This window comes from Homo sapiens, chromosome 5, assembly GCF_000001405.40.
Source record: "Homo sapiens chromosome 5, GRCh38.p14 Primary Assembly".
Classification (NCBI taxonomy): Eukaryota; Metazoa; Chordata; class Mammalia; order Primates; family Hominidae; genus Homo; species Homo sapiens.
Window position 1 is genome coordinate 38,074,462 of NC_000005.10, and position 27,759 is coordinate 38,102,220.

The 27,759-nt window shown below is 39.4% G+C and overlaps 2 long non-coding RNA genes across 2 annotated transcripts in view; one reads left to right on the top strand and one right to left on the bottom strand.

Moving 5' to 3' along the window:
- Positions 1 to 27,759, top strand: part of LINC02107 (long intergenic non-protein coding RNA 2107) — a 158,236-nt gene that overhangs the window by 48,765 nt on the left and 81,712 nt on the right. The gene's annotated exons all lie outside the window — the stretch shown is intronic.
- LOC105374730 (uncharacterized) lies at positions 1,799 to 9,887 on the bottom strand. The gene is made up of 3 exons (XR_925927.3): positions 9,729 to 9,887; positions 5,062 to 5,262; positions 1,799 to 1,901 (listed from the first exon to the last, which is right to left on the bottom strand). It is a non-coding gene; the product is annotated as an uncharacterized LOC105374730 (long non-coding RNA).

Genomic DNA, 27,759 nt, shown 5'->3' on the forward strand with positions numbered 1-27,759 from the left:
TCATGTCCCCTGGCCATATGGCTTGGCCCCCATTCAGCTTCAAGAGGAATTAAAAAATCAGGAGCATCTTCAAGTGGCCCCTGTGGCACAGTTGGGCTTTGGCGTTCTCAGGATGGGCAGTGGGAGCCATAAGACTTCTTCAGTGGCCTTCCAGGCAGGTGTGAAGAAGTGGGAGCCAGGGTGAATTGCAAACAAGAGAGCCACATGTGAGGAATCTCTTTGCAGACTCCCAGGGACACTTAGAGGTGTACCTGAAGCCTCTGACTATGCCTCTGAATGAGTAGACGTTTCGGCCACACTGTAGGAGATGGCATTATTTTATTTCAGGACCATTTTCACTCATTTGATAGTTACCCGATATTTGTCTATGGCCATACCACGTTGAAAGTGCCTGATTTCATCTGATAGTTAACCAATATTCACTGAACTCTTCTTATCAGTTACACAAGAAAATTCATCTTATTCATTTTACAGCCAGTTGTAGCTTTTGCCTTGAACATGTATTAGATTGACCAGTCCCCTCTTTCACCAGATCTGGTGCTATTGTCTAGATCTGCTGAGACAGACACCAAGATGGGATTAGATGTGCAAGGAAAAGCAGGAAGGAAGAAAGGCGAGAAGAGACTGTATCACAGGTCTGGCATCTGTGGAAGGAGAGAGGGAAGGAAGGAAGGGTGGATGGGATGACTCTCAGACTGCAACACTGTTCCAAGAAATGTTCAGCCAAGGAGCCCTTGCATCCTATGTCTTGCTGGAAGGAGGCTGTCTTCAGACCTCTCCATGCTCAGTCATTGGTTGGAAGCCACACTGTGGAAGTGTGGTGGATCCCAGTGGGCAGCAGCTGTGGCCATCAGTTAATTATGCTCTAGCAGCAGGAGATCTGTGTGGTACACTTTCATTTGGTAACATCTGGGATCAAAATAATTTTGGCTACTTTGAACATCAAATTTAGGTTGAACATTTGAACATTTGCTACAATTGGGAATAGTGAATAAATGCCTGGAAGAAGTCTTATGAAAGGAGTTAACTATGAGTTAATATAAATCCAGTGGGGCCACTGAGGATGGTTGAGCAGGTTGTGCACTACACAAGGGCATCTGCTAGATGGGGCTAAGGTCTATCCCCAGTTTGCTCATTAGTCTATGTGACCTGGGCAGAGCTGCTTGTGCCCAAAGAGGTTGTTTTTTCTTATTTGCACAAATGTCAGCCCCAGGAGCTGGTTGTATTGCATTTATTCAATTACGTGTACTATAGAGTGACTTGTAGAAAGAGGGGCATCTATGTCCACTTCATGGAAATCTATAAAAAAAAAACTTCTTCATTTACCCATAGGACCAAAGACCTAGTCACATCTATGAAAGAACCACCAGCCTCCACCCACTTCTTACTTCAGAGCTTTCTCCAGCCTGGTGGAACCTCTCCGCCACCCCACAGCCCCCACTCCTACCTTGGAGTCCCTCTTCTATTGGTTCCACTTAGGGCTGCCCTGGTGTGCTACCCCTTCTGCACCAAGACTTACTTATGTGTGTCTCATCCTGCACCGTCCTGCCAGCTAGCTCTCCAATAGAAAAATTGTACCAAATAGCTCCACATGGGATGAAAGACTGACATCTCCCAAGGGAAGAGTAATAGATGATATTTATCCAACTTACTTTGTGCTACTGGCTTCATTTGCAGGACAGTGGGGAAGGGGTATTTTCATCCTCATTTTTCAGGAGGAAACCAAGGCTCCAGGGGTTAAACGACTCTGCTGGGGTCACACAGTTACTGAGTGGCTGAGCCAGATTTTGAATCCAGGCCTTTTTGCTACAGATTCCTTGCTCTTCACCACTGTTCAAGATTACTTCAGCTACAGTCTTCTCACATGGCCCCCTCTGTAAATCTGAAAGTAGGGAAAGCTTCTGGAAAAGAGAAGGGATTTTGCTCAGTGCTTCTTACATTATGCCACGTAAGTCAGTGTTTCTCAAGACAGTTGTTCAAACAATATTTTTAAATCAACTTAATTGGTCATGAGCAGCATTTCAAACAATGAAAATACAATACAATGAAAAATGAAGGATCTGAAATAAGAAGTAAAAAAGACAACGCAATTGAAGAAGAAATACCAGAGGGCATTGCATGTAGAAAATGTGTTGTTTCAGGTGCTGGAGAGGATGTGGAGAAATAGGAACACTTTCACACTGTTGGTGGGACTGTAAACTAGTTCAACCATTGTGGAAGTCAGTGTGGCGATTCCTCAGGGATCTAGAACTAGAAATACCATTTGACCCAGCCATCCCATTACTGGGGATATATCCAAAGGATTATAAATCATGCTGCTATAAAGACACATGCACACGTATGTTTATAGCGGCACTATTCACAATAGCAAAGACTTGGAACCAACCTAAATGTCCAACAATAATAGACTGGATTAAGAAAATGTGGCACGTATACACCATGGAATACTATGCAGCCATAAAAAATGATGAGTTCATGTCCTTTGCAGGGACATGGATGAAACTGGAAACCATCATTCTCAGCGAACTATCGCAAGGACAAAAAACCAAACACCACATGTTCTCATTCATAGGTGGGAATTGAACAATGAGAACACATGGACACAGGAAGGGGAGCATCACACACCGGGGTCTGTTGTGGGGTGGGGGGAGGGGTGAGGGATAGTATTAGGAGATATACCTAATGTAAATGATGAGTTAATGGGTGCAGCACACCAACATGGCACATGTATACATATGTAACAAACCTGCACGTTGTGCACATGTACCCTAGAACTTAAAGTATAATAATAATAAATTTAAAAAAAAGAAAGTGTGTTGTTTCATGAAATTTTTGCTTCAGTTTAACGTATGTACATATTTATGCATATACTTACTAATGTATATGCATATGTGTATTCATTTGTATGTGAGTGAGTTTTGTAAAACTGCACAAGCAATGTACTTTCTTTTAAGATTCTGCTACTTGCTTTTTATTAAATCAGGACTTATTTTCACGTGTTTTGTGTTTTATCATTTCATGCTTCTTTTAAAAATCCTTTTTTTTCTCCTTCCTTGCCTTCTGTTGGATTAATAGAGCGTTAGCTATTCTGCCTACACCACGACCTGTTCTACAATTGGCTTCTGGTTTAGAAACTATATTGTGTTTCTTTTATTGTAACGGTTACTGAAAATTTTTTAGATATACATACATATACTGTCAGGTATCACTTGACAACAGGGATATGTTTTGAGAAATGTTTCATTAGGTAATTTTGTCACTGCACAAACATCATAGAGTGCACTCACACAACCCTAGATGGTATAGCCTACAACATACCTAGGCTATGTGGTATAGCCTGTTGCTCCTACACTACAAACCTAGCAATGTACTTTTAACTATGGGCCAAAGTCCAGTGAGTTTGTCTCACATTGACGTGGGTGCTGGATTCATTTGCTTCTTAGCTTATCTGGCCCTAGTGAAACAGAGAGCCAAGTAGAGAGCTACATTGGCCTAAGCCCACCCCAGCTGTCTGCTCCTGGCCTTTGCCCTGACTTTTAGGGAAGAAGAGACCCTGCAGTCAAAGCTGGACTCCCAGGGAATATTCTCTTCCTTCTCTGTCCTTCTCTCTCCTTTCATCACACCCTGAAGGCAGTGTAGCCACTTAGGCCAGCCTAACCAGGTCTTACCCCTGGGGAGTGGGTAGTCCATAAATTTACAGGGTATAAAAAATGTGAAATAATTTCTTTTAGAAAGGCTGTGTGACTTAAATATTAGTAGCCTTCACATGAGTTTTTCAGTAGATAGGAACAACTGAGATGCTAGTTAACAAGAAGAATTTGTTCAATTAGAACACAAGATAACATTTTCATTAAGACCAATCTGTGAGCAGTATTGTGAATTGCAAAGTGAATTTAAGAAAATGTGAGGGTAAGATCACACTCTGTCCTAACCATCAACATTCCTTAGTTATGACTCGGTCCGTAAGTTTTTTTTTTTTTTATACAGAGTCTCACTCTATTGACCAGGCTGGAGTGCAGTGGCACGATCTTGGCTTACTGCAACCTCTGCCTCCCAGGATCAAGTGATTCTCCTGCCTCAGCTTCCCCAGTAGCTGAGATTACAGGCACACACCACCATGCCCAGCTAATTTTTGTATTTTTTTTTAGTAGAGATGGGGTTTTGTCATGTTGGCCAGGCTGGTCTCAAACTCCTGATCTCAGGTGATCTGCCCGCCTTAGCCTCCCAAAGTGCTGGGATTACAGGTGTGAGCCACTGCCCCTGGCCCTTAAGATATTTAGGACTATTGCTGCTGTATTTGGTCATTGGTCGATAATCATGAAAGCTAACATTGATTAATACATGGTAACTTATCAAATGAAGACATTCTGGTAAACTCTTTGACATAGATCAATACATAGATAATCCTAACAACCCTATAAGTTAGATTTTATTATTATCTCCATTTTTTTCAGATGGAGAAATTGAGGCTCAGAGGTTAAGTAACTTGTTCATGGTCATATATTTAAGAGCCTACAGCAAGTTCTATTGGTTGGTGTGATAGATTGTGAAAATGGCCTCAGTTCTTTCTCAGCTGGATCCACACCCCCTGCAATGTGACTCTGTCACTCCTTCTATAGAGGGGAGGAGTCTATTTCCCCTCCCTTTGTGTCAGGGCTGGCCTTGTGACTTTCTATGGCTAATAGATGTGGTGGAAGTGACTGTGTGTGCTGTCTAGGCTTCAGGAGACCGTGATGTCTTCTGCTTTCCAGCCCCTGCCTCCTTCATGGGAACAAGCCTGGGCTGCTCTGCTGGAGGATGATAGGTCACATGGAGCCAAGGTGAGCCATCCCAGCTGAGGCCATTCGAGACCAGCCAGCCCCCAGCCAACCCACCAACCAACTGACTGCAGACGTATAAGCAAGCCCAGCCACAACTGGCTGAACCTGGCCCAGATCAGTAGAACTGTCCAGCCAATTCACAGATTAATGAAAAATGATCAATTGGTTTTTTGGCCACTGAGTTTTGGGGTGATATTCTGCTCCATTACAGTGGCAATAGATAACAGAGAAAGTTGCCTACCCACAGTCATTTCTTCTCTTTTCTTTGAGGCCAAGTAGGCTTCCCATGATGGAGGTTTAAATGACATACGTTCACTTTTCCATCTTTCTTTGCAATTAGGGTGATGTAGTTCTGGCAGATGTACAGGAAAGTCAGCTTTATGTGGTGGAGGGTTGGGGGGTGATGGGCCAGAGGGTCATGGTTCTGAGAAACATTTTCCTTCTGAAAAGAAAGAGCCATGAGACAGAGGACTTCCCCTTTCCTCCCTGTCTGCTTTGGATGCTATCATTAAAAATGGACACTTGAGCAATAGCAGCTGTCTTGTGACCATGAGGCAACAAGCCTATAAACAACAATTTAACACATCAGGGATGGCAGAATGAAAAGCTAAAAAGAGCCTAGCTTCCTGACATTATTCGGCTGTGGGAACAATCCTAGAACTGCCTTGCCTTCTGACTTCTTCACTATTTAAGCTACTATGTGTTGATTATTCTGAGTGACACAGTGCAGGAACCTAGTCCAACCCTAGGAGCCTAGTTTGTAATCATGATGCTGTACTCAGAAGCATTGAGCACTGTTAAGATTAAGAGAACCCTGGGCTTTAGAAGCCCAAGTGAGTGTGAATGTGGGCATTGACAAGGCTTAGCGTTAGTAAATACTGGAGTAGAGTCTGGATCCAAACCAGGGGTGGGCTGGCACAGTCCCTGGCAAGGATCCTCAGCCTCTTGGCTGGACAGCACCACTGAGGCCAGAGCACAAGCTTTCATGCGAGGAGCCAGGAGGATCACAAAGTCTTTCTAAAGAGTCAAAAGCAGCAGAGTGACAGGAGAAACCACAAACTCAGCTTTAATACTCTGCCCTGCCCTTGTCTCTGAGTCTGAACCCCAATGTCAACAGAAACCTTTCTAAATTTAAAATTTCCTTCATATTGTTTTGATCCATTAAATTGCCATATTTTGTAATGTTTTTTATCTCAAAATTTTTTGTTATGAATCAAATATCTTGAATCATACAGATCCAATGAATTATGAAAGACAGACTTTCTATACACAGAGGAGCCCATATCAGACTTGGCCCTGGGTCCCACGTTTACTGGTTGTACCATCTCTACAAAGCTAAGCTCAGGGACATTTCTGCCCCTGGCATTCTGTCTGACTTTCTCGCTATTTTCTACAGGCATACCTCGTTTATTGCACTTCATTTTATTGCACATTGCAGATACTGTGTTTCAGACAAATTGTGGCAACCCTGTGTTAAACAACTCTATTGACACCATTTTTCCAACAGCGTGTGCTCACTTTGTGCATGTCACATTTTGGTAATTCTCACAACATTTCAAACTTTTTCATTATTATCATATCTGTTATAGCGATATGTGATCAGTGATCTTCAATGTTAGTATTGTAATCGTCTTGGAGTGCCATGAACTGCACCTGTATAAGATGGTGCACTTAATTGAAACATGTTATGTGTGTTTTGACTGCTCCACCCATCAGCTGTTTTCCCATCTTTCTCCCTCTCCTTGGGCCTCCCTATTCCCTGAGGCACAACAATATTGAAATTTGGTCATTTAATAACCCTAGAATGGCCGCTAAGTGTTCAAGTGAAAGGAAAAGTCGCATGACTCTCTCTTTCAATCAAAAGCTAGAAATGATTAAGCTTATGAGAAAGGCACATCAAAAACTGAGCTGGACTGAAAGGAAGGCCTCTTGCACCAAAGAGTTAGACAAATGGTGAATGCAAAGGAAAATTTCTTGAAGGAAGTTAAAAGTGCTACTCCAGAACATATAAGTAAGAAACTGAAACAGACTTATTGCTGTTATGGAGAAAGTTCAGTAATCTAAGTAAAGGATCAAACCAGCCACAATATTCCCTTACGCCAAAGCCAAATCCAAAGCAAGCCCTCAACTCTTTTCAGTTATCTGAAGGCTGAGAGAGGGGAGGAACCTGCAGAAGAAAAGTTGGAAGCTAGCAAAGTTTAGTTCATGACGTTTAAAGAAAGAGGTCATCTCCATAAGATAAAAGCACATGATAAAACAGCAGGTTCTGATGTAGAAGCTGCAGCAAGTTATCCAGAAGACCTAGCTAAGATAATTGATGAATTATCAATTCATCAATCACTCAACAACAGATTTTCAACGTAGATGGAAGAGGCTTACATTGGAAGGAGATGCCATCTAGGACTTTCATAGCTAGAGAGAAGTCAATGCCTGACTTCAAAGCTTCAAAGGACAGGCTGACTCTCTTGTTAGAGGCTAATGAAGCAGGTGAATTAAAGTCGAAGCCAGTGCTCAATGATCATTCAAATATCCTAGGGCCCTTAAGAAGTATGCAACATCTACACTGCCTGTGCTTTATAAATGGAACAACAAAGCCTGAATGACAGCACATCTGTTAATAACATGGTTTTATTGAATATTTTAAGCCCACTGTTAAGACTCACTGCTCAGAAAAAAAAAGATTCCTTTAAAATTTTTACTGCTCATTGACAATGCACCCAGTAATCCATGAGCTCTGATGGAGATGTACAAAGAGATTCATGTTTCCATGCCTGCTAACACAGCATTCATTCTGTAGCCCATGGATCCAGGAGTCATTTTGACTTTCAAGTCTTATTATTTAAGAAATATGTTTCATAAGGCTATAGTTGTCATAGATAGTGATTCCTCTGATGGATCTGGGTAAAGTAAATTGAAAATCCTCTGGAAAAGTTTCACCATTTCTAGATGCCATTAAAACATTTGTGATTTAGATGAGGAGGTCAAATTATTAACATTAATAGGAATTTGAAGAAGTTGATTCCAACCCTCATGGATGACTTTGAGGGATTCAAGACCAGTGGCAGAAGTCACTGCAGATGTGGTGGAAATAACATAAGAACTAAAACTAGAAGTGGAGCCTGAAGATGTGACTGAATTGCTGCAATCCCATGATGAAAATTTAATGGATGAGGAGTTGCCACTTATGGATGAGTAAAGAAACAGTTTTGTGAGATGGAATCTACTCCTGGTAAAGATGCTGTGAACATGGTTGAAATGACAACAAAGGATTTAGAATATTACATCAATTCAGTTGATAAAACAGAGGCAGGGTTTGAGAGGGCTGACTCCAATTTTGAAAGAAGTTTTACTGTGGGTAAAATGCTGGCAAACAGCATTGCATTCTACGGAGAAATCTTTTGTGAAACGGAGAATCAATTGATGTGGCAAACTTCATTTTCGTCTTTCTTTTAGAAATTGCCAGAGCCACCCAGCCATCAGCAACCACCACCCTGATCAGTCAGCAGCCATGAACGCTGAGGCAAGACCCTCTACCAGCAAAAACCCTCCACCTCAGTGGCAAAAAAACCTTGCCTCTGAGGCAAGACCCTCCACCACTTGCCAAAAGCTCAGATGATTATTAGGATGTTTACAAAATAAAGTATTATAAGTCAAAGTATGTACACTTTTTTGTCATGACAGCCTACTATTACATACATCAATTTTGTTAGACATAATGCTATTGTATACTTAATAGATTAAAGTATAGGGTAAACATAACTTTTATATGCACTAGGAAATCAAAAATTTTGTGTGACTTGCTTTATCTCAATATTTGCTCAATATTTGCAATGGTCTGGAATGGGACCTGCAATATCTCAGAGGTCTACCTGTCTCTTCCCAGGTGTGGTCAGGTCTTTTGATCTAGCCTCCGTTCTTGTTTCCCTGGAATCTAATTTTTATTGACTTTCTCCTGGGAGCAATGAGTCTCTCAGCCTCCAGCTTTTCATGTGTTATAGACCCTGATCTGCCTCACACACACCTGTGTAATCCCAACTCCTTGTATCGGTCCCTCTGGCCAACCCTGTCTTTTTCCACCCACAAGTATTTCCATTGATGTACTCATTTATCCCTTTTCTTCTTATATAGCTGGAGAAAAGCTTGGGTAGATCAAGCATTGTTTTTGTGTTTAAAAAAATATAGTCCTTCCATCCCCCTTCCTTCCCACATCTGACTCCACAACTTACATAAGAACTCCAGCATGAAAGTTGGAGGGGGAAAAAATTGAGAGGATGTCCAGATGGATACAAATTTTTGGAAAACACTGAACACTCTGTGTTTATCTTCTTGCAGGGCAAAGGACTCAGAGAGACCTGTCATGCACGTTGATATCAGCACTCAGGATTAAAATCTAAACCCCTTCCTCCAAGACATTCCCCTGCCTGACAAACTGTTGTTATTTTTAAGCAGGAAAAGCTTCCTTGATCCTGAAGATAAATTCATAGCTTGTGGTTGGAAGTACTTGTAGGAACACAGTTTGTGTAGGCATTTTGAGGAAATGGCTTCCCTTTTATGTATTACCTGTGAAATGCCAACTGGACTCTTGCAGAGATAAAAATGCTCAGAGCTATCAGCTAGAATTTTACTAAAAAAGAGAAACAAAAAGGTGAGAGGAACATTAAACTGCAGACTACTGGCTTCTCAAAGGCTGTACACAATGATATTGTCCTGATTCGGGCATTGTAATTGCCCCACCAACCACAGGTATTTTCCCTTGCAATAAGAGACTCTACCTTCCTGGGCCATCTGGAGGGCATGCAAAGGACATCCGTATGGCAAGTGAGGTGAAACACACCAGACTCTTCCAATCTGCTACATACCATTTTTTTGTTTCAAAATGGAAAAAGCTATGTAGATGTAGATGCTCACCAGGAGAAGGCCAGCTTGATGTCTCCCATGGGACCTGCTTTGGTGAATTTCATGTATGGTGTTCTCAGCCTGCAGGTTCAGATACCCATAATCAGTTCCCCCGAGAGATGTGGCTTTCAGAGGTGGACTCAGGTTAGGCAAGTTCATATGACTGACATGTAAAACTGGTCACTAGTTAACATATTTACAATGAAAAATAATTGTCATGGTGACCGGAATACTCATATCAGCAGGTCTTCCATATTATCTCCCAATAGGAAGACCTACAATACAAGGAAGCCAAGGTATGATGAGCACATCTCTAGGTCAGCACCAAACCAGCTGATTGAATGCTTGAATAGCAGGAGGCAAAGGTGGCCCATCATACCTCACTCCATTTCAGGGATGATCTTGCCAATGGGACCAGAAATCTCAAAGTCCATAGGAAAGGTGCCCTTCTCCTTGGATAGTGCTCTCTTTTGCTCTGTTTCTTAGGCTGGTTGACACTTTCCTTAGTTACATTCATATCCATAGTCAGATCACATCATCTCATCAGGTAGACCTGAGAGCCACTCTGATCATGAAGGTGGCAAAGCATGTTTCAGTTCTGATCTATTGTATAATGATTTCAAAATGTAAAATGTTAGAGACACTGATTTCTCTCCTTTTCAAGTTCTTAGGGGATACCTTGTCATACCATCAAGTACTTCTAACAGGTCATCCCCTTGTCTGGAGGTAGATGTGTGGTCCCCACTGTCCCCTGGCTCTCTGATTTTGATTATCTGTGTTTTTGTTGTATTCTTGGGTCTTTCCACAATTCTGTAGCTTCACAGAAATACCAGTGTCCCTAATATTTCAATGGCTGTTAGAGATTCTCTACACCCAGATTTAGCTAGAGAAGTTCTAAGAATTCTGCTAATTGGATCCACTGGTATTTCATTTGTATTCTTACTGTTGCTCAATAATAATTATTTTATTCAACTCTTGATGCTTCTGCATAGCCTTCTCCTCTGAAGAGTTTCCAAGCATGTTTCATTTTCCTCTAGCCCTCAAACTAGCATCTCTGCCTTTGTGTCTCAATGGAATATTAAAGGTATCTGAATATAAACTTTCATGCCCTAAAATTTTCATCATCTGCTTCCTCTTGTTTTTCTTAGAGGAAGAAGCTTCCATCCTCTTTCCAAACACCAGTCCCACACTTATGTGCCTTTGATCCCATGTTTTCTTAGTTTTTCCAAGATTTTTTCCCCTTTTCTTATTCCCCGTTTCTTACAAACAAAGGAAGTCCTCTCCATTAAAAATGTTTTTCTAACCCCATTGCCCTCTTAAGTTAGCATCCATTCTCCAGGTCCTGTCATTGAATCCTAGCATTTTGAAGTGGAGTCGACATCACCTGATTCCATGTCCTCATTGCTACTTTCTTCCTAATCCTTTTTAGTCTGTCATACCCATTGCTCTGCTAAAACTGCCCTCTTGAGGGGAGCAAGATCAAGAAAACAAATAAATGAGCTTCATAATGTGTTGAGAAGTAAATCTGTTAGATCACAAATTTATTTTTAAAAATAGGTTTTTGAAGAGAAAAGTAAGACAGAAGGTTCTGTCCCATAGATAGTAGTGAGTTAGAATACATAATTCATAAGTTCATAGTCAGTCACCTTCAACAACTGGTGTATACATTGTAATGTAGAAGAGTAAATTCCCCATTTACTACAACAAACATATTCTAGCAAAAATTATTTTTATAATAAACATAAAGTGTCCAAATATAATTTTTACAACAATCGTGTAGAGGAAGATTTGCAGTGATCATAGCTTTGTAGTCAAGGTTTACATTCCATGGGAGATAACTATAAAACATTTGTGGTTAAGAGCAAAAAAAAAAAAAAAAAAAAAATCACAGGAGAGCTTCTTGCCTTTTTCAATAAACAATTCAATTTTATGAAGACAAGATACAGAGTATGTATAGATTTAACTTAAACAGGAACTTTCCCGCACCTGCCTAATACTTATTTGTTATGCCTGGTGGTAACTGGTATGTTAAATTCTCTGACTGACTTTCTTATTTTTACAACCAAAGACAATTCTAATCCAGAACCTTGATATCTTTAAAGTGCTTTTGTCAACATTCTTTTTCTGTTCAAATTGTTCTTTCTTTATTAGTTCCTACTTCTTATCTTACACACAAACTCAGGTCTCTAACTCCTAAAAAGACAGAAAATCTTATCTCAACCGTCTTGGATTAGCATCTTACGCCTGCCTTTCCTGGTAGAAATCTTGAAGGTCAAGCTACACTGTTTACCTCTACCCAGAGGTTTCTTAGTAACCATTGTGATCCATGACGTATGGATTCAACAATGGTTTTAAATGAGGCTGAATTGAAGTTTTAGGGGCTTATAATATTTTTATTTTCCTAGAACTAAATTTCTTCAGCACCAGTCACACATCAATTAGGTACTTTGCATATGCTGTCATATTTAATAATCACAACTGTACTGAGGTGGGTACTATTGCTTTCATTTAACAGTTGAGGAAAAAAATGTTGAAGAACATTGTACGACCTGGTCACAGTCACCCACTGAGTGTGGAGCTTGGATTCAACAGTCAGGGCTCCTAGTTACAAGCAGCAGAGATTAAGGCTGGCTGATTTCGGCAGAGAATGAATTGATTATATTGTTAGTTCACAGAATCCCAGGCCAGTCTAGAGAAATAGATTAAGGCTGTATTGCTAGGTGTGATCCTCAACAAGAAGTGGATGGGTGAGGACACTTCTGGAAGCTCTGGACATTGTAAATTTTATTGCTGACACGCCAGATGGACACTGGATACCCACACCAGCACTATTCTCCTCACTGCCCCCAAAGACTTAATATTTCAGCAACTCTCCCCACCATCAGAGAGTTCTTGTGGTCCCTTGATATGAGGTCGGTGTGTCTGATTGGCAGAACGAGGGTCATGAACATGTACCCAAGCTGCAAGATTTCTTGGGAGAATGAGTTTCTGGAAGTTTCCATGTCTCTAGTCGGAGATAGGTTTTGTCTCTCTTCAAGAATCATAATGTGTTTATTTGTGTATGTGTTAGGAATTGGGGGCAGTGAGAATTCTCAAATAAGGGAAATTGGTTTCATATATTGGATGGTCAAAAAGAATAGCAAATTCCATTACCATAACTCAATGTGTCTGACCTCAAATCTTTATACCGTGAAGCCTCTTGAAAGTCACCAATAACCTCCTATTTGCAAATTTTAATGACTTTACCTTCATCCTTTTTGTTAACAGGTATAAAGATTTGACACGATTAAACATCTCTCTTGCCTTCCTTTCCTCATTCATTTGTTCATTCTTTCCTAAAAAGAAATCGACGTACTGTTTTTGCAAAACCAAAAAAGTAGAAGGAAGGAAATAATAAAGATAAGAGCAAAATTCAACAGAATAGAAAATAGGCAAACAAATAGAGAATGTCAACTGGTTCTTTAGAAAATATTAACAAAATTAATAAACCCACAGGAAGACTGATGAAAAAAACAGAGAAACACAAATGAAGTGACATCTATATACATCCTATGACATTAAGAGGATAAGAGGGATATTATAATCAACTTTATGTTAATATATTTGACAACTTAGAACAATGGACAATTTTCTTGAAAAAGACAACTTTCTAAAGTTATCACAAGAAAAACTGAAAATGTAAATGTTCCTGTATTTGTTAAATAAGTCAAATCCATAATTAGAAATCTTCCCACAAAGGAAAGCCCAGACCCAAGTGACTTCATTTGTTAATATTACCAAACACTGAAGTAAGAAATAATACAAATATTAAAATATTTTCAGAGAATAAAAGAAGAGGAAATGCTTTCTTATGCATTTTATGAGGCCAGTAAAACCGTGCTACCAAAACTCAACAAGGAAAATACACAAAAGAGAAAAATAGACCAATATCCCTCATGTTAATTTAAAAAATTTAACAATTATGAGCAAAAGCAATATCTAAAAAAGATAAAACATCATGACCAAGTAGGGTAATGCAAGTTTGGTACAGCCTTCAAAAGTCAATCAATGTAATTTAACACATTAAAAATAAAGAGTAAAAATGATGTTATATTGATAGATGCAGAAAAAGAATTTGATAAAACTCAACACTTGTTCATGGCAAAAACTCTCAGCAAACTAGGAATAGAAGAGGACTTCCCCAACTTGATGAAAGCATTTACAAAAAAAATCTAGAGCTAACCTAGGACCTGGTGGAGAATTATTAAGAATTTCCATTTAAAGCAAAAATGTTTCCTCTCATCACTTCAATTTAACATTGTACTGGAGGTTATAGCCAGCACAATAAGGCAAGAATAAGAAATATAAAGTATAATCACAAGAAGGAAGGAGTAGAATGATCTTAATTCACAGATGACACACTGATGTACATAGAAAAATCCAATGTGGGCCAGGCGCAGTGGCTCATGCCTGTAATCCCAGCACTTTGGGAGGCCGAGGTGGGCAGATCAAGAGGTCAGGAGTTTGAGCCCAGCCTGGCCAACATGGTGAAACCCTGTCTCTACTAAAAAAAAAAAAAAAAAAAAATTAGCCAGGCGTGGTGGTGGGTGCCTGTAGTCCCAGCTGCTCAGGAGGCTGAAACAGGAGAATCGCTTGAACCCGGGAGGCTGAGGTTGCAGTGAGCCAAGACCGTGCCACTGCACTCCAGCTGGGTGACAGAGTGAGACTCTGTCTCCAAAAGAAAAAAAAAAAAGAAAATCCAATGTGATCTACAAAAAATTTAAAACCACTGCAACTAAAAAGCAAATTGATGAAGTTCAAGAAATACAAAAGTCAATATATAAAAACTACTTACACCTTTGTATACTTGTAATAAATAATTGGAAATTTTTAAAAATACCGTTTATAAATACCTAGGAATACATTTAGTGAAATTTGTGCAAGACCTGTATATTGGAAATGACAGTACATTGCTGATAGAAATTTTAAAAGATAATTGGAAAGGTATATGATTGGAATCCTAATATCGGATTGAAAAGCTCAATATTGTTAAGTTGTTAATTCTCCTTAAACTGATCTATTGACTGAATGCAATTTCAATCAAAATCCCAGCAGGCATTCTGGAGAAATTGACAAGCTGATTCTAAAATGTATTTGAAAATGCAAGGACTTATAATAGTCCTTGAAAAGGAAGAACAAAATGGAAGGATTCACACTATCAATGTTCAAGACTTACTGAAAGCTATAGTAATTAAGACAGTATAGTTGGTGTAAGGGTAGACAAACTAATGAAATAGAAAAGAGAATCTGAAATAGATCTACACATATAAAGTTTATTAGTTTTTTAAACAGGGCAAATTAAAGCCAATGGGGGAAACAAAAGTCTTTTCAATAAATGATAATGGAACAACTGGACATCTATATGGAAAAAAATGAACTTTGACTCTTACTTTATATAATGCATGACAATTCAACTGTGAAAGCTAAATTTATAAAGCTTGCTAAAGAAAATGTAGGAAAAAAATATTTTTACAATCTTGTGGCAGAGAAAGATTTCACAAGACACGTAAAGCACCAATCATATAAAAATAATAATAAATAAAACTTCATAACATTAAAACTTATGTTCATCAAAAGTCATTGTTAAGAAAGTGAAAAGTGAAGCCGTAGTCTGGAAGAAAATATTTCATAAACATATAGCTGATAAAGGACTGATATCCTAGGTATAGATGAATTCCTATGAATCACATTTTAAAGACAATTGACATAAGAAATGAGGAGATACTTGAACAGGCGCCTCACAAAGAAGATATATGAATGCCTAATAACATATGAAAAGGTGCTCAACATCATTAGTCATCAGGGAAATGCCAACTCAACTATGATGAGATATAGAATGTTTAAAACTAAACAGACTGCTGTTGTGCGTGTGGAGAAATTGAAATTCTCATACATTGCTTGTGGGAGTATAAAATAATAAAACCACTTTGGAAAACTGTTTCTCACTCTTCAGTAAAGTTAAACATAGATCTATCCTGTGACCAAGTATTTCCATTCCTAACTGTATTGCCAGAAGAAAGGAATGTATCTATCTTACAAAAAGACTCATAACTCATATGAATGTTCATAACAGTTTTATTTATAAGAGTCCTAAACTGGAAACAACCCAAATGTCCATCAACACGAAAATGGAAAAGGTGTAGTATACTACTGAGCAATAAAAAAGAACTACTGACACATATCACAATATGAATAAAACACAAAAACATTATTTTGAACTAATGAAGCTAGATAAAATAGTAATAGCATATGATTTCATTTATATGAATTTTTAGAACAGGCAAAATTAATCTATGGTGATAGAGGTCAGAAAAGGGTATGGGAATATTTACTGGAAAGGGATGCCAGGACACTTTTTTAAGTGATCGAAATAGTCTTAATCTTGATCAGGTTGATGGTTACACAGGTCACAATTCATTAAGCAGTACACTAAAATTTATGAAATTTATGAATACAAATGTATCTTATTAATACCACAAATTGTGAGGGAATCTCACTGAGAAGTTAACTCTACAAATAGGAAGTCATAGAAACTGTTGGAACACAGTGGAAATGATCAATGGGCTATATATTTTCTAATGGCATTGAAGGCTCCAAGACTGAACATGAAATTGAGGAATAAATTAAAAGTTTGAAGATATTCTCCTATAGGACTAGAATGCAATCTATTCTGTATAGATTACATCAGAATCATGTATTCTGAGCATGTATTCTTCACATTCAAAAATCAAAATAGGGAAAATTCGTAAGAGCCCCATTGTAATGGTTTTTTAAACATCTGTATTAAGATATAATTGACAAAAATTGTATATATTTACAGTATACAACTTGATATTTGTAAATTTGTTTTACATTTGAAAATGTCTGGCTATTACTCAAGGTTTTGCCTAGTTCTGATCTTGTTGAGACACACTATTGTTTTTCTCAGAATCTTGGAGACATTTTTAAATTATCTTCTGGCATCAATGTTGCTGTGGGGAAGACTGCAGTGAATTTCGTATTTCCTGTCTCTACCCTTGAGGTGATTGGTTTTTATCCTGTCTAGATATCTGAGAATTACATTCTTTATCCTTGAAATTCATTATCTTAGCAGTATAAGTGGTTTCCATTATTTTTTTCATTCCAGTGGTTGTATTATTTTTTTCATTCCAGTGGTTGCATTATTTTTTTCATTCCAGTAAAATTTGCTTATATTATAGCATTTGTTGCTTTTTGTTATTCCATTTGTTGAATACTTTCAGGAACACTAATTAGGGATTTTGACTTTCAAGAACACTAATTATTGACTTTGTTCTATAAATTAATTAGCTCTTTATAACTGCATTTTTCTCTTTGTGTTTCTTTTATTATTTTTGAATTTGTACTCCCTTTCCTATATATTGGTAAGTTTAAAGGTGAGTCTAATCTGTTTGTTAAAGTCTCAAATTTAATCATAGACATATACCGATTTTTCTCCCTCCATCTGTTTTCCAAGTTTGTAACTTTCCTGTTTATTTTCTGTTATTTAATCATCTTGACTATGGGCCCTTATGTTATTAAATTTATCTTATTAATTAATTAATTAATTTTTTTTTACCATAGCTCAGGGCACTTGTGAAGAACTTCCTTCTGATTTTCAGTTGTTTTGCACCTAAGTTGGTTTATCTTTTGCATTCTAGGGCATGTGTGTGTGTGTGTGCGTGTGTGTGTGTACATGCACACACGCGCGCGCGCACACACACACACACACACGGTTGCCAGGGTGGTAATTTTTATCTTTCTCAACTGTCCTCTTGATACAGACCTATTATTTGCCCTAATGTTGTATAGGTGTCTTCTCATCTCTCTTGCTATTTGAGACCCATTTGTTTTCCTGACAAACCACAATTTTAGAGTTTGTTTTTTCATGTTCTTTCCACCTACCCTATAGTCTGAAAGAATGGCAGGGAAGGACAGAGGTTGAGGTATTGTGCAGACTTTGGTAGAGTATCAGGACTTGGCAGACATTTCTGAAGTGTTTATTAACTGCTTATTCAATGCATGAGGGCTTTCTTTAATGAGTTGAGGGATTGTATTCAAGTCCTATGGGAGAATACTCTCAAACTTTGAATCTATTCTTCAATTATCAATGCCATGAGAGAAGATATAACTCACTGTTCATTTCCACTGTCTTCCGACAGTTTCTCTGACTCCCTATTTGTAGAGTTAGCATCTCAGTAAGGTTCTCTCTCAATTTTGAGATATGAAAAAGATATCCCTGGATTTGGTTGATGACACCTGTGTGGCTCCTGGGAATGGTAGAGCTAGGAGCCTTGCCATGGTGAGCTATGCTACTCCACTGTGGAATTTGCTTTTTCATCAGCCAATACTTTTTTGGAAGTTTATGGCATGGGGTGGTGCCCTTCTCTGGTTTGGTGGCTGCTGTGGGATTTAGGGGGCATGCTTTTTCAACATCTCACTGTTGTGATTTCATGATGTATTGGGAGAAGGAGATTGTTCCCAGGTGGCTGCCTTCTGCCTGGGCAATCTTGTTCCTCTCGGCTTCCTTTAAAAGCTGTTGTCCTGCTTCTCACTTCCCTTTCTCACTGCCCTCAAGTCTCCTTTCTGGCTTCTTTGTCATTATCCACTTAATAAGGTATTTTCAAAGATCATTTTACACCCTTCTTCTCTTTCTCATTCTTTCATTTAAATTTCCATCCCATCTATTCTTTCAATATACTCTTTTATAACCTCCTAATTCACATCCATGCTCATTAGTAATGGCTAGGCAGATATTGTCCAAATTGCTATTTTATGCCCTGACCCATCTTCCATGAGCTGGTCTCATTTTTGCTGGATGTTATACTGTATGACACTTTGCTGGATGTTATACTGTATGACAATCCTAAGACAACCTTAAACTTAAAATATCCAAAAACAAGCTTATGGTGTTCTGTTTCAACCCAAAGTTTCCCCCTGTCTTCTGTATCCTCTCAGTCTTTGAGACACAGAAGCCTGGAGCCTTTTTAATTCTTTCCTTTTTTGGCCCCCTTTATCCAATGAGTTAATAAATTCTTTCAAGTAGACTTTTCCTTCTCTTTGTTTCCACTGCCATTACCCTAAAATAAATTTGTATTTTTCTCACTTGAGCTTTGTAATAGCCCTTACCTGGTCTCTCTCCTCTAATCTCTTCTTCCTCTAATCAGTGCTCCACATAGCTCCTGAGACATCTTGCTCTAAAATCTGCCGTGGGGACCTAATACCTTTTCGTGGTATTCAAGGACCTCCATAACCTGAACTCAATTTATAACTTGAGGCTTATTTTCCACTGTGCCCCACTGCATGCCCTAAATTTCAACTGCAGCCCCTTGTTAAGCATGCCCTGTTCATTCTTATGTAGAAAACCCTTTGTTGAATTCCCCTTATCCCATCTTTATCTCACCAAATTTTATCAGTTTTTCAAAATCCTGACCAAATTTTACCTCCTCCACGAACGCTTCCTAACCAACTGCTTTAGAAGTGACTGATCCCTCCCCACTCGGAACTCCTGTTTTTCCTTATTACTCGTCACATCACCTTTCAATCATTGCACACATGTGTTAGCTTGCCCCAAAGTTGTCAATTCCTTGTGGAGATGGGGGAGCAAGGTTATGGGAAGCTGTGATGCTTAAGGAAAGTTGTAATATAGTAAACTTGGACTTAGTACCATAGAGCTGAATTCAAGCTCAGTTTTAACCGCTGTGGGTGGTTGGGCAAGTCACTTACCCTCTCCGAGATTTATTTTTGTCATGTTTAAAGAGGTTATTGTAAATGTTAAATGAAATAGCATGTGTGAAAGTGCTTTATAAGTGTAGATTTATGTATACACACACGCAGGCATATATACATATGCATGCATACATAGATAGGTAAATAAAATGTAGATTAAGATATTGCTGGTTTCTTCAAAATCCCCACAGTACCATGCCTAATATAATAGTTTACACATAAAATGTTAATAAATGTTTATTTCTAGTTGCAATTATACCTACCTGCAGAACACCAACGAGATGCTAATGGGTAAGGGCAAATGTGCAGAAAGTTGATAGTTTGTGTGGTTATGCCAGCAATTTGCCAAGCTGGAGAACTACTTAACTGCATCATCTAAGATTTCATGCGTAGTGCAGAGGACCTGCCTAAATGGAGGCAAATGATTGGGCAGTTTGTTTCAGTCCTTCTAGCCCTTGATGAATAGTTTTTCACAGAACGACACATAATAGATATCATATGTAGAAGTGAAATGTTTGCTTATCAGTAGCTATTCCATATACACATTTCAGATGTGAGTTTATGTTAAATGCATTTCATGTAAACATAGACATTTATCTCCATAAATGTTTCCTTATATAGTTTTTGTTGCCATTCATTCAGTCACCACCGTTACTCTTTTCCAAACTCCCAATTTTCCAGTAGTGCTTCATCTATAATCACAGGCACCAAACTGGTATAGCTACATCAAAGTTGAATAGAGGGTAACAACAAGGACATGCGAATGAACATTAAGTAATTCCCTTAATAGTTGAAATCATCTGGGTTGGATCTTGTGCATGTTCAGATTTTCCATGACAGCTTTTTCTGTTTTTCCTCCAGAGCCACATGTCCCATGTTTAAAAAATACTGTAATTTTATGGGGTTTTAAAAAATCATTTTGCCAAAAACTATCCTTTTAAAAGGGGTCATAACAGAAGTCAAATATGTATTCTGAGACTCTGCTTGTGACATGATAGATTTAAGACTGTGTTTGCAATGCTTGACTGAATGTTCACATTCATTTTGCACCTGAATTGGGCAAAAATGTGGGTAAACTTTCTTGTCCCAGGCTGAGCCTAAGGTAAATTCCTGAATCAAATACTTTGAACAGTGCCTCCAGCAGCGCACTTGCAGGAGCCCACATGCATGGGGGATGGGGATACTTTCTAAGAAATAATTTAGTCTAAGGGGAGAATAGCACAACCTTGGCCTTGGAGAAGCCTGGTTCTTTAAGCAGTGGCAGCTATCTGCCAGTTGCTCCGTGAAATCATGTCTAAGTCCTAGGAAGAGAAGACACTGGGTGTCAAAACTCCGGGAGACACAGGGGCAAAGCCATATTGTGTGGGAAGGCAATGTTTCCACCTCACCACAGCAGAAACCCTGCCACCTCCTAAACCTCAGCACATCAGCGTCAGTGGAAATAGAAGTATCCAGTGGGAGTGGTAGCAGCACCTGTGGTGGGAGCAGCTCCAGCAGAGGCCGTGGTGCATAGGGAGGTGGTGGAGGCAGCCTAACTCAGCAGACACCAGTGTGCGCAGTGGTGGGGATGTGTCTTTGGGCTCTGGAGACAGTGGCAAGTTACCTTTATACTGCTTAGCAGTCTTGGCAGGGATGTCAACCACAGAGCCAGAGTGGTAGAAGAGAAAAAGTTGTTTAAATATATATATTCATTTGAAAAGTGTCCATGATGTATAACATGTTTGTGAAAGTTTATTCGGGGACAGAGAGAGAAAAGACCATGATGAATCTTTGAAGATGTTTACCAAACGTTTAACAATTTCTGCTTTATTCGTTCTTTTTCAAAAAGTACTTATTGAAATTATTGTCTCAAATGAGATACAACCTGAACCTCTACACGTAGTTTAGGTAATTAAATGCATCGCAAATACTGTATTGAGTGTTTTCAAAGAAAATATTAATTGCGCATGACAAGTCAAGTACATGACTTTCAATTTCTTCATGAGTAAAAACAGATTTTATTCACCAAATAGCTATTAAAGACATCTTAACTGATTGCAAATTTTAAAGAGAAGATTTTTACTGTTGTTATAGATTATCAGACTATGGGGCTGAGTATCCTACCAAGGGCAAGGAGAGGTGGCATCATTTATGATGAAAATGGAAGAAAAAGTGAAAACAAGGAGTAGAAATCTTACAAAGATGGAGACAAGACAAAGAAGAGGATTGCTGAATAGAGTTCTTAAAAACATGAATCAATTAGCCAAGCTTAGTCCTCTAAAGAGATGCTGCTTATCTGAGTTACCACAACTAGTGATAGCCTATATTCTCATGATCTGACCACCAACTGTTTGTCACTAAGGACTAGTGAAAATCCTTAACCAACTGCATTCTGCTTCACTAGACAGAGGATGTAAACTGGTAACGTGAATGAAATGTGCTGAAGGTTAGGATAGAGGGGTGCACAGGACTTGGAAAGATAAAAGGGAAGGGCACTATTCAAACTAGGAGTTCAGGGAAAGCCCTCAGAGATAAAGCTTGCATCTTACAGGAGAAGTCACGTGTACTCAGGCAAACAGAGGTAGGAAGGGTATTCTAACTAGAACTAGCAAGAGCAAAGGCACAGCAGCATGGAATCATGTGGCGAGTGTGTGCGTGTGTGCATGCATGTGTGTGCTGGGGTGAGGCAGAAGGTAGTACAATAGTGCAGCCATTACAATCAATAAGGGGCAATTAGTGTGAGAGCTCAAGATAAAGGGAGCAGAATACTGGAGTAAACTGATGCCGCTGATGCCAAAAACAGATGCTAGAAGACTAACAAAGAGGAGAAAAACTACATATTTGGTTTGACTGTATAATGTCAATTAAAGTCATGCAAGTGACCCACTATTTAATTGTATTATTTTATTTAATTTTATTTACTTAATTATTGAGATAGGGTCTCACTCTGTTGCCCAGGTTGGAGTGCAGTGGCATAATCATAGCTCACTGCAGGCTTGAACTCCTGGGCTCAAGCAATCCTCCTGCTTCAGCCTCCCAAATAGCTATGACTATAGGCATGTGCCACCATGCCCAGCTAATTTTTAAAATTGTAGAAACGGGGTCTCACTATGTGGCCCAGGCTGATCTCCTAGGCTCAAGTGATACTCCTGCCTTAGCTTCCCAAAAATGCTGGAATTATACTACTAACTTTTTTTGTCTAATTTTTGTGCTGCTCAATAAGATGTGTGTATATATAATATACATAGATACAAGTTTCATATCATATAGTCACCAGATTGATTTATTCTGTATACAATTATATATTTGTATATAATCACTTAATTTGATGCTATGTAATATATCACATATATTACATATAAAAACACATATAATCACTAAATTTGTCAAGTTAACTTTATTGTAAATTTGATTGAAATGCCACAATCAGCACCATACTTGCAGGCCAGTATTAGTTATTTTAATTAGTTAAGTGGCATTATTGCCTACTCAGGCATCAAAATTATTTTCTCAGTTTAAACACTTACATGGACTATTACACGTTATAATGCCTTTTGTCTTGCATGATTAATGTTTTCGTATTGTTTCTTTTTCGTGAGCAGAGGCAGTCTGCTAGCTGAGAAGTCAAAAGGCCTGTCTCGCACCTATGCTCTGTCCCAAGTAGCTGTGAGGCTATGCCTTTGTTTTCTCATTTCTCATAGGTAGGCTTTGGGATGAACGCTCCCTGGCTGCCCTTCAGGGGTGGCACAGTTTGTTGACAGAAGGGTGGAACCAGGACCCAGGACTCAGGACCCAGGACCCGTGGCTGGCAGCTCTGACTCTCCACTGTGTGTGATTGGGACTCAGTCCTGTCACCTGTTGAATGGGGAGAGTGATACCCAAGCAGGAGGGGGAGACCTGCTCTGCTGGTTTCATCAGGGTGTCACGAGGATTGAATGAGATCATGTGTGGACATGTTTGTTAAAAGTAAAGTACTTGGCAATATCAGGCCGGGCATGGTGGCTCACGCCTGTAATCCCAGCACTTTGGGAGGCTGAGGCGGGCTGATCACCTGAGGTCAGGAGTTCGAAACCAACCTGGCCAACATGGTGAAACCCCGTCTCTACTAAAAATACAAAAAAACTAGCCATGCATGGTAGTACCCACCTGTAACCCCAGCTACTCAGGAGGCTGAGGCACAAGAATTGCTTGAACCCAGGAGGTGGAGGTTCCAGTGAGACGAGATCACGCCGCTGTATTCCAGCCTAGGCAACAAAGTGAGACTCCATCTCAAAAAAAAAAAAAAAAAAAGAAAGAAAGAAAAAAAAGAAAGAAAGAAAGTAAAGTACTTTGCAATATCAGTGATAGTGCTGCCAGGCAATTAAGGCCTGTTACCAAAGGCCGTGGGAGTCAAGTGATTTTGCCAGAGAGTCTTACTTTTTTTAGTTCCTTCCTGTTCTTTTAGATGAATGTTTTAGGGTTAATACATTAATATGTCTGTAATATATACAACAGTAATATTTAATATAGTATTAGTCATTCTACAAACTTACCAGCATACCATAACATTCAATAGTATTTCCAGGAGGCAAAAATGTCCTTTACTGTATCAGTTGAAGTGTGGTTTACCAAAAGGAAAAAGCAAAACCATATTTGCTTTAGGTAGCAAAATGGCAGGCCTTTATTAGGGTCTTTTGTGGTAGGAGCTACCGAAATAAATAAATGAATGAATAAAGAAAACACCACTTTCAGAATAGTGGTCACCGACTTACCCTTGAACCATTTGAGTGGGGAGAAGTGAGACTGAATCAGGAAATTAAATTAAAAAGTAAATAATGGCAGGCCCTGATCCCGTCATCATTTCTCACCAGAACCAATAAGACTTTGAAAGGAGGACTCTGTGGAATTCATTTTTAAGTCTTGGGGAAACAATATGCAATTTAAATATCTGCACATAAAAATGTTGGGGGTGATTTGGGGGTTCAGGAGTTGTCAGACAGCACCGGGATCACAACCTCACTCCCCAGACCTTTACCTATTAAATGCAATTATATATGGTTGGCCCCGATGGTGACAATGCTATGATTGGCAGTTCCTGAAACTACCTATTTGAGGGAGAGTTTTCTTTTGGAAGTGGCGAACCAAGCTTGTCAGTATTTTTCAAAATTTATTTAGCTAGCAGGAGAAAATATATTGTGTTTGAGTTAGGCTATTAGTTTAGAGACTTTCACATTTAAAGCTCTCCTTTTTCAAGTAAAGGACAAGACCCAGAGAGGTGAAGGGACCTACTGGACCATCCCACCAGTCAGGAGTGGAGTGGAAAATTGAAATGCTAAGTCCAGCAGGTTGTTTCACTCTTTTCTTTCTTTCCATTTTTCTTTCCTTTCCTTTCCTCCCTCCTCCCTTCCCTTCTTTCTTTCTCATTCCACAAATATTTGGTCAGCTTCTCTGTTATAGAAGGCACTTTACTAACACTGTAGGAATACAAAGCCAAAAATAAGGCCCCCCAGGAAGCCTCCAATAGAGACAGTATGTAAGTAAACTACCCAAGGCAGGGTGAGATGAGCTCACTCCCCATGACCTGAACAACCTACTGGGGAGCCTAAAAGAAAGATCGCTGGACAATGAGACTTCATGGGATAGAAAGCTTTTGAGAAGAGCCTGAAAATGTGGCAGAATTTTGAAAAATAAATAGGGCTGGGCATGTCAGAGGCATTTGAACCAGAGCGACTCCATCTTGAATAGAGACTGGGTAAAATGAGGCTGAGACCTACTAGGGTGCATTTCCACAAGATTAGGCATTCTGAGTCACAGGGTGAGATAGAAGGTCAGCACAAGATACAGGTTACAAAGACTTTGCTTATAAAACAGCATGCAGTAAAGAAGCCAGCCAAAACCCACTAAAACCAAGATGCTGACAAGGGTCACCTCTGGTTGTCCTCACTGCTCATTATATGCTAATTATAATGCATTAGCATGCTAAAAGACACTCCCACCAGCACCCTGACAGTTTACAAATGCCATGGAAACATCAGGAAGTTACCTTATATGGTCGAAAAAGGGGAAGAACCCTCAGTTCTGGGAATTGTCCACTCCTTTCCCAGAAAAACTCATGAATAATCCACCCCTTATTTAGCATATAATCAAGAAGTAACAATAAGTATAAGCAGCTGAGAAGCTCATGTTGCTGCTCTGCCTATGGAATGGCCATTTTTTATTCCTTTACTTTCTTAATAAATTTGCTTTCACTTTACTCAGTGGACTTGCCCCGAATTCTTTCTTGTGTGAGATCCAAGAACCCTCTCTTGGGGTCTGGAATGGGACCCCTTTCTGGCAACAGATGGGAAATGATCAAAAGTGTCCAAGCGTTAAAACAATGAGTCTTTCCAGTTTGGTGGGAGAATGGCAGCATGGTGTGAGATAGCAGGCTGGGTCCTTGTTGACAAAGGATTTGTGCTGGGCTGTGGAGTGTGTGTTTCAATTGGTAGCCCCCAACAAGCCACTGAAGACTTCATCTGAGGACTGAAATGATTGCAGAGTTTGCTGATGGGAAAGGGGAGGCTGGGTGTCAGGTAAACAGGATGGAGTGTAAGCAGAGATAATGTGGGAGTGAACTGGGGCACTGGTAATGGGAATGGAACCTGAAAGGAAGAGAACAATTTTTAAATTATTATGGAGATAAAATCAACAGGACAGGCACCTTACTTAGATGAATGGGTGGAGAAAGAAGATGTAGGTTCTGGCATTAAGGATTGCAAGAGAACAGTCCCACATAGATGGATTAAAATGATGAGTGATGAATGCCCTTGGAAAATGCTGCAAGAAGAGAGTTTCTGCAGCACAAAGCAGATACCAGAGGAGTGAATAGCCGGCCACTGTATTGATTTGGTTTTCTCCAGTGAAATTCAGTGACTCTTGATGGGAAATGCAGAATAGAGACCCAAGGGGTCCCTCAGGGTCAGGAATTAGGACAAGACTGGGGAAGAGACTAGAGAGGTAGACAGCACATTATTGAAAGAATTGACTTGGACTTCAGGCTGGATAGGGTTAGGAATGAAATCTGAGAGACTAAAAGGATAAGAATAGAAGAGTAGGGAGGGACCTAGGTGAGAGAAGGGTAGGCTCAGTAGGAATCAAGGAATGAGAAAGATGGAAGATAAAGAGGTGGCATCTGTGAGGAGGACTCCAGAGGTGGGGATTTCGACAGTGGAGACGTTTTGAGTGATGATAAGAACTAATGTGGGATTGGGTTGTTGGCCTGGGCAAAGACCAAAATTATGGATGTCAAGAAACTATGAGGCTGTGAGTTGATAAGAAATTCCTCCCCCTAAAAATATTAGAAAGTGTGTGAAAGGCATGTATGGAGTGTGTGTGTGTGTGTGTGTGCATGTGTGTTTTGGGAGGAGAATTGCTGTACTTATATCTCACATTGTTATTGCTGTCTTCTTAATTCTTTACAAATTGGGCCAACTTGGAACTTACTCTTATTTTATATAACTCATGTGTTTTCTCATGACTTTCTTTTATATTTATTTGTTAATCCTGTTTCTGGGGAAACATCTACTGCAATGTGTTCTGCCAACTTATATTTTATATTTTTCTGAAATTATTCTTTGCTAGTTCTCCAAGGTTAACTTAAATACCTCACAACTGGCCTGAAATCTCCAATTTCATTTCTCTGGCTGAAACAGCAAAGAAGGAAGACAAGTAAGAGAGGCTTCACCTGGGAGGGGGTGAGGAAGAAGGCAGCAAACAGATTTTAAACTATGGTGGAGGCCATTATTTCTGTCCTCAGCATTTGTAACCTATAGCAAACCCAGGGTTGGTTGGTTTTTGTCTGATTGGTTGTGTTAAAAGACAAAATTACAAATGAATCCAAACTTACAAAAAATAAATTCAGTTTTGCAGATCTTAATTGGCTTTGTGATTCTAGAATCAGGCAGCAGTACAAGCCAAAAATGATTCCAAATACCCTGCCCCACTACATGTGTGGTGTTAAAAACCTTAGACAAATTAAATTTAAAGGACTTCAATTGAGTAAAGAATGATTTGTGAATCGGACGGCCCGCGAACCAGAATGGGTTCCGAGAGACCCTGGTACTGCCTCTCGGTCAGAGAAGATTTATGGACTGAAAAAGGAAAGTGATGTACAGAACACGGAAGTGAGGTACAGAAACCTCCAGATTGGTTACAGCTTGGCATTTGCCTTATCTGAACAGGGTTTGAACAGTTGGCTGCCTCTGATTGGCTGAAACTTGATGAATGACACAGGAATAGGTTACAGGCTGATTACACATCCAGTTAGATTACAGTTCACTGT